The sequence below is a fragment of the Homo sapiens genome, chromosome 20 (genome assembly GCF_000001405.40).
Source record: "Homo sapiens chromosome 20, GRCh38.p14 Primary Assembly".
Classification (NCBI taxonomy): Eukaryota; Metazoa; Chordata; class Mammalia; order Primates; family Hominidae; genus Homo; species Homo sapiens.
Genome location: NC_000020.11, coordinates 48,597,729 through 48,605,022, shown reverse-complemented (window position 1 = coordinate 48,605,022; position 7,294 = coordinate 48,597,729). Strand labels below are relative to the sequence as shown.

Here is a 7,294-nt window from a genome sequence, read left to right as displayed (position 1 = left end):
GCCCTCCTGGAGTTGATATTTCAAGACAGGAGACAGACATTGAAGAGGCGAATGGTTAAATATAAACTATAATGTCAGATTGGGATAAGTCTTAGGAAGAAACAGTGGAGGGAGGGAGGGATGGACTGAGAGTCTTGGGTGCTGGGTCAACAAGGGAGGTCCCAGGGGACTGCCGCAGAAGGAATCCTGAGACCTGGAGGAGATGGGGGAGCCCGGAAGAATTGGGGGTGGAATGGGTGGGGACACGGGGCTCCAGCACAGGGAACAGCAAGGCCAAGCCTGGGTGGGTGTGGCCTGGAGAGTTTAGGGGGCTGCAAATGGGGGATCAGGCAGTGGGGAGTGACCCCGTCCCATGTGGCGGCAGCCTCAGCAGCAGGAGGTCCAGGACACGTGAGTTACTGCACCTGGGCCTGTGGTCCTTAAAGTGGGGACGGTGCCCTGGGGAGACGCTGGGAAGAAGAAGAGGGCACTGTGAGCCGAGAGCTGGGTGCAGGGTGGGCACAGAGTTGCCATCAGTGGAGGCTGTTGGGAGTCCATGGCAGGAGCAGGGCTGAAATTGAGGCCAGAGCCCTACAGGGCCTCCAGGTATTTGTACGTCAGGGAGACTAAAGGGCTGGTCCTGTTCATTACCTGTAATAAGGGTGGAAAGTAAGAATGCCTACTTTAGGGCCAAGATGGTGGCAGAGCACAGCCCTGGGTCCTGACTTGCCCTGGGGTCTTCTGTGTGTGCCCTGAAGCCCACCCTCCTGCCTCCTGCAGAAGCCCCGGGATGCTCTTCTCCGCCCTGGGAGGACGGGCTCCTGGAACCGAGGATCACCGAATCTTGCAGGAACCTGGGCAGCTCAAGGCTCCTATCATCCAATGGGCTGATCAATACTTTGTCGGCTGAAGCTTCCTGGAAGGCCAGAATTGGGCTTTTAGAACTAGGGCTGTGACTGGCTTCCTGGATGTCCTGGCTGGTGGGTGCACACAGGCCTCCTCAAGTGGCTCTGACAAGAGCCTCATCAATCATAGCACGTGGGTGCCAGGATCTGCAGCAGGCAAATGAGGGCAGGACCACAGGGCACAGCCACAGGGCACATGCCCAGGGCACGTATTTACACAGTGAGCACCCACCGGGCATTGCTGGTGTCTGTCCTAACTTACTGAGTGTTGGGTGTGTTGAACATGCCCGGCCCTTGCAAATGCCCGTGGGCTGCATTTGAGTCTGGGACGTCCAGTTGTGACCCCTGCGGCGGGCCCTCCATAAATACCTGTGGATTTGGTGGGGAGGCCAATCTCAGTGCACCATGAGTCCTCACAGCTGCTGCAGGGGTGGATTTCCCAGGGCCGCCAAGTATTTCCCTTCCCTTGTCTCCTCCTCTGCATCACTCCGCCCCTCCTCCTCCCTCCTTCTCTGATCAGGCACAACTGACACTTGAGCCCGTGGAGGTCTGGGGATTACGGAGTCTGGGCAGACACATGCCAGGGGCTGAGGAATTACCCAGCAGCTGTTGGGCCCCAGGCTGTTGGGGGCAGGGGGCTGGGGGCAGCAGTCTGTTCCAGCTCCCAGGGCCAGGGAAGGATGCAGCCTCCTGACCCCCTACCTGGCAGAGGCCACAAAGAGGCAGCTTACATCCACCCCTGGGTGTTGGGGATGCAGGGAGGGAATGGGCCCTGTTCCCACCCTCAGGGACATCCCAGGCCTGAACTATGAGCATTAGTCAGACTGTGGACTGAGTCTGGTCCTCATACTTAGGTGAGCGGGAAATTCATCATCCCCATCCCCCCACGCCCCTGATTTAGCTTTCTTATTCTAAGCAGCCTTCCACTGGAGGAGCAGGAGTTTTATAATTTTGTGTTTTACATTTGGATTTATGATACATTTTGAGTTAATTTTTGCACCAGATGTGAGATATAGGTTGAGGTTCAGTTTTGTTTTTGTTTTTTTTGCATGTAGATGACCAGTTGTTCAAACACCATTTGTTGAGTGTACTACCTGTTCTCCATTGATTGGCTTTTTTTGCACCGCTGTTAAAAGTCAACTGCCCATATTTGTGTAGGTTTGTTTCTGGGCTCTTCATTCTCCTTCACTGATCTATGTATGAATTCCTTCATCAATACCACAGTCTTGATACTACAGCTTTACAGTTAGTCTAAGTAGGGTGGTGATGCTTCTGACATTATTGTTCTTTTTCTACTCTAGTTTCTTTGCTTTTGCCTGTACATTTTACAATAAGTTTGTACGTATAAAAATTCCTGCTGGCATTTTTATTAACATTGCACTAAATCTGAAGATCAGCTTGGGGAGAACTGACATCTTGACTGCTTTTGTCCTCCATCTTTACTGCTACAATCCATGGACATGGTATGTATTTCCATTTATTTAGGTCTTCCTTGATTTCTTTCATCAATATTTTGTAGTTTAAAGCATACAAATCCTGTACATGTTTGTTAGATTTATACTTAAGTATTTCATTTTTGGGAATCTTTTTCAAGTGGTATTAATTTTTTTTCTAATCATACGTGATTATCGTACAGAAATATGATTGATTTTTCTTTGTCGACCTTGCTAATCTCACTATTAGTTCTAGTGGTTCTAGGAGGAGTTCGTTTCATTTTTGTTTTTGAGATTTGCTGGAATTATCTATATAGACAAGTGTGTCGAATGCAAATAGGGATAGTTTCATTTCTTCCTTTCCAATATGTTTGCCTTCACATGGTTCTTTGAACATTTTTTTGCCAATTTTTTTTTTTAATAGGTTATTTCACACAAACGACTCTGGCTTCTTTAAAAACAGAAAAGCTCTACAGGGTCTGCCTTCCCTTATACAACTGCTTGGCAGAGCTGAGAAGTGGCCACCCTTATACATAGGGCTCTTCTGCAGCCCCGCTAGCCCATCTACCCACTTAGGTCATTTGCCCACCCCTTTAGAAATCTGCGTTTGTAACTCCTGGATTGGCAGTCGGGTCCTGAGGGTGGCGGAGTGCCTGCCCTTCACCTCCCTCCCCTGGTGCAGGATCTATGAGGTGTTTTACATGTGCCTCAAGCAACACTGAAGTAGTAGAGATTGGCAGGAAGGACCATCATTCAGCCACAAGGAGCACTTCCGTGGCAACCACTTGAGCTGACACTCATGATCCAGGCTGAAGAATGGATGTCCCAGCAAGTACTGGCTCTGGGAGGTGGTGCCTGGGCACCATGTTGGTCCCTGCTGTCACCTGGTACCAGGTAAAGACTCAGAAAAGGGAAAGCATCAATCCCAAATTGTCTAAGATTACGTTTCCACTGCCCGTGCAGAATATTGACTCAAATAGAAATAATAAGATCTATCATTACAGGCATTGATCTAAGTACTCTTATGGGAAAGAGTTTTTAATCTTCTCAGCCATACTAAGGAAAGATTCTGTTATCCCCACAACATGGATGAAGAAACTGAGGCACAGCATGCTCAGTGGAGAAACAGTGTGTTCCAGTAAACTTGGCCAGGGTCACACTGCTGGGAGGAAGTGGATGCAAACCAGGCATTCTAGATCCAGAGTCTATGCTTCAACCAGCTTGCTCTAATGCTGCCAAGACTAAGTGAAGTTTTAGAAAATAACGAAGGTACATTTTCCCCATTTGAGCGGTGGGCTGAGATGGGCCTCATCTGGTCTCTAAATAGGACTCGTTTGCACCCAGCTGCTTTCTTGACATCTCTGAGGATGAACACACTGGAATGGGGCCATCAGGTGGTCACACCTCACAGCAGGACAGGGAATGCAGGTGGGTGACAAATGCAGACTGGCACACGTGTGATGGTGGGGTGCGGTGACCTCACACTGCAAGAGCATGGCAGTGGATGGGCCACAAGGCGGAAAATCTTCCCTCAATGTCAAGTTAATGCTGTCCTTAAAAATTCAGTGCGTCTTAAAATCACGGGGAGAGGATACGAGGAAGAGCCACCGTAGTGACAGCACAGCGTAGGGTTCAAGAGGGTGGACTCCTGGGCGCAGCTGTCTGAGATCAGATCCCCACTTTGCCACTTCATTGCTGTGTGACCTTGGGTAAGTTACTAACCTGTCTGCCATTCACTTGCCTCATCAGTAACCGTTTTTTTATTTTTGGGACAGAGTCTTGCTCTGCTGCCCAGGCTGGAGTGCAGTGGCACGATCTCAGCCGACTGCAACCTGCACCTCTTGGGTTCAAGCAGTTCTCCTGCCTCAGCCTCAAATGTGGGTGATCAAACTCACACCGACTTCCTGGGGCTGTGGAGATTGAATGAGCTCAGGCACCTGGAGCACCCAGGCCCCAGCTGCCCACAGTGAACGCATCGATAAGCAGCAGCTGCACGTGTGTTAGAGCTATTGTTCCTCAGCACTCCCTACCTCACCCAAGCCCCCATGAACTTTGGATGCCACTTCAGGTCCTCTTCTGGAAGGCTCTCCCTGACCATCACAGGCTATGAGCACCTCACATAAACACGCTTCTGATCAGTGCCCAGATCTCCCCAAGTCAGCATGTCAGGTGTGCGTCTCCACAACCCATAACAATCACAATGGTGACGATGGTGATAATGGCCACACGAATGGTTATTGAGTCCTGAAAACAGACCAGGAGTTGCATTTCACGCTCCGAGCCACTTTGTTTAATTGACCAAGGGCAGATGTGGACTCAGTTGTCATTCCTGCACCCACCAGGCCTCTTGGCAGGAGGGAAAAACCAGGGCGCACATTCCAAGCACCTGCCATGTACCAGGCACTTTCATACATGTCGACTCCCTTAAGCCTCCCTTAATCTATGTTACCATTACCCCCATTCCACCGACCAGGAAACTGAGGCTGGGAGGGCGAGGTGACCGGCCTGGGGTCACACAGCCAGTGAGTGACAGAGGGTATCAGGCACTCAGGTGTGTTTGGTGCCAAATACCAGGCTCTGCCCATATCTCCATGAGGCGTTTTCTCCAGGTGTGAGTGGGAAGAAGATTCCACAACGCTGCTGCCCTGGGTGGGCTGTTGGCACAGAGAACAGGGCAACAGTTGGAAGCAGATGTCTGGGGTCCCTTCCCTGCCCTCCGATAAACTCCCTTGGACACACTCCACATCAGGACCCTGGGTCCCCTGGGAGGATGTCTGCTCACCTCTGGGAGGGGAGAGGAGCTGATGAGAATGGAGGGCCCCTCCCTGCAGTGCCCGGACCCCTGCCCCAGGTCTTCATGTCACAGATGGTGGAATCCCATCACCTTGAGGATATGGGTAAGAAGTGCATGGGGCTCTCATCTCTCTCCTTTCCTCACCTCCACTGCTCACCTCTAACACCCTCCTCCCCCAGTGTTGGAATTAACACTGACCTATGGCATGCCAGGTGTTTTCTTGTATTATTTTTTGATCTTTCGGCTGCAAGTGGCAGAACCCAAATCAAGGACTGCAACAAAACCAAGAACAAAGACACAAAAATGTCTGGTTTGCTGTTCCACATTCACAATGTGGCTTCAGGCACAGCTGCATCCAGGGGCTCTTACAGTGTCACTAGGGTGCCTTCTCTCCATCTCTCAGCCCTGCTTCCCTCTGTGTCAGTGGAGTTCTCAGACTGGCCCTTCAGGTAGTGGCAAGGCAGGTCCCCAGCAGCCAGGCTTCCATCCTCCAACTTAGCACCCTCAGCAGAAACTGGGCTCTTTCCCAGTGAGTCTGGCACAACCTTGGGGTGACGTTCATTGGCCCAGACAGTCTACGGATCTTACTGGCCAGACCCAGGTCACGTGACATCTCTGTGCGGAGAAGGGGCTTGAACCACCTGGACTGAGTGTGGGGGAGGAATTTGCACCGTGGCCCCTGGGTGGGTGTCAGGGTGCAGGCTGCGGTATCTGTGGCCACAGCAGCAATGCTGGATCCCCAGGGATCAGTCCTGCCAGGGATCCTATGTCCTGCTGCCTGCATAGCCCCCCACACTTGTCTCTCTGTCCTCGCAGAGTTTCCAAAGCCCCTGACAACCCTTTAATCTATTGCTTTCTCTGCTCAAACCAGTGGAGCCTCTGGTTGCAAGAGGAGCGCTGATACTCTCATGGTAAACCTCATTTTACAGACAGGGAGGCTGTGCCCCAGGGAGGGGAAGTGACTCCCAGGGTCACAGGTCCCATGAGTGGTGGAGACAGGATTTGAACTGGGGATGCAGGACAGCTGCGCCTGCTCCACTCCAGGCTGACGTGGTCTCCTTTCTGCAGGGCCAGGGCCAGGGCCGGGGCCAGGCCCTCAGCAAGGCTGCCGGGGGGTCTTGGGGACAGAGCTGCTGCCCTGGCTGGAGTGGCCTTGCAGGAGGGGCGGGGCCTGCTGTCCTTCCTGGGTAGGCTGAGTCTTGCTCTGTCCTGGCCAGTTTTAATAGCCTGAGGGCAGAGGGGAAGCAAAGGTGAACTCTAATGAGCCATTGATTTCTCAGCAGGAAGCCGGCTGTGGCCCCAGTGCATTTCCTCCTAATGGATGGGAAAGAAAATGTGAGGACAGCGGTGCCCTGGCGCGGGGCCACCCTTGGGCACCTCGCTCATTCCCGCTGTCTGCACCTTCTGAGGCCCGAGGTGGACTTTTCTGGAGGTGGCCCAGGGCGAGAGGCTGTTTGTCCCATTCCAGCTCTCACCCCCAGCATCCAGCAGGGTCTGGATCCCGCCATTTGCTCAGACGTTCAGGCTGCTTCTGTCCAGGGACGGGGCTGTCACTCTACTGTTCAAGGCAGACCTGAGAGCCACCTGGAGTCCCTCAGTGTGGCTTTTCCACTCTGACCCAAGGCAGGCCGCCTCTGCACACCTGCCCTGTCCACACTTAGGCAGAGCCCCCATCACTTCTCCCTGGGTCACCGCAGATGCCTCCACCCGGGGCCTCTGCAGTTTACTGTCTCCATGGCAAAGACAGGACACTTTAAACCTGCAAGTCAGGCCTTGTCATCTCTCTGCCTGCTGCCCCCACGGCTTCCCACCTGACTCAGAATGAATGCCAGCGCCCCGGCCTTGGCCCCAGCCTGTGCCACATGACTGCCCTTTGTCCTCCGGGTCCTCTCCCCACCTTCCCCTTCTCTGTGACCTGCAGGCTGACCAGGTGGCCCACACCACAAGGCTCCCTTGCTTCTGATTCTTGATGTGTCCCCCCAGTGGGGAGTCCCAGTGGGAGGTCAGCAGGGTGGTGTTGGGGCTCACCTGGCTCCTTCATTTCAGGGTCACCTGGGGCTGGCTGTGCCCTGGCCTCCTTTCTATCCTCCACTAGAGGATTGTCTTTCCTGCCCCAGGGACTTTGCACTGCTGCTTTCTCTGCCTGGACTGCTCCTTACCCAGCCCCTCCAGCATTCAGTACA

The 7,294-nt window shown here is 53.0% G+C and overlaps 2 annotated features.

Moving 5' to 3' along the window:
* Positions 978–1,272: a silencer, noted in NCBI's record as "tiled region #8803; HepG2 Repressive non-DNase unmatched - State 10:DNaseD, and K562 Repressive non-DNase unmatched - State 21:Repr". NCBI's record gives its function as "represses a minimal TATA promoter and a strong SV40 promoter by Sharpr-MPRA in HepG2 and K562 cells {active_cell/tissue: HepG2 | K562}" and the evidence as "EXISTENCE:reporter gene assay evidence [ECO:0000049][PMID:27701403]".
* Positions 5,576–6,534: an enhancer, noted in NCBI's record as "OCT4-NANOG-H3K27ac-H3K4me1 hESC enhancer chr20:47215027-47215985 (GRCh37/hg19 assembly coordinates)". NCBI's record gives its function as "activates a minimal SCP1, AML or CMV promoter by ChIP-STARR-seq in primed H9 embryonic stem cells {active_cell/tissue: H9 hESC(primed)}" and the evidence as "EXISTENCE:reporter gene assay evidence [ECO:0000049][PMID:30033119]".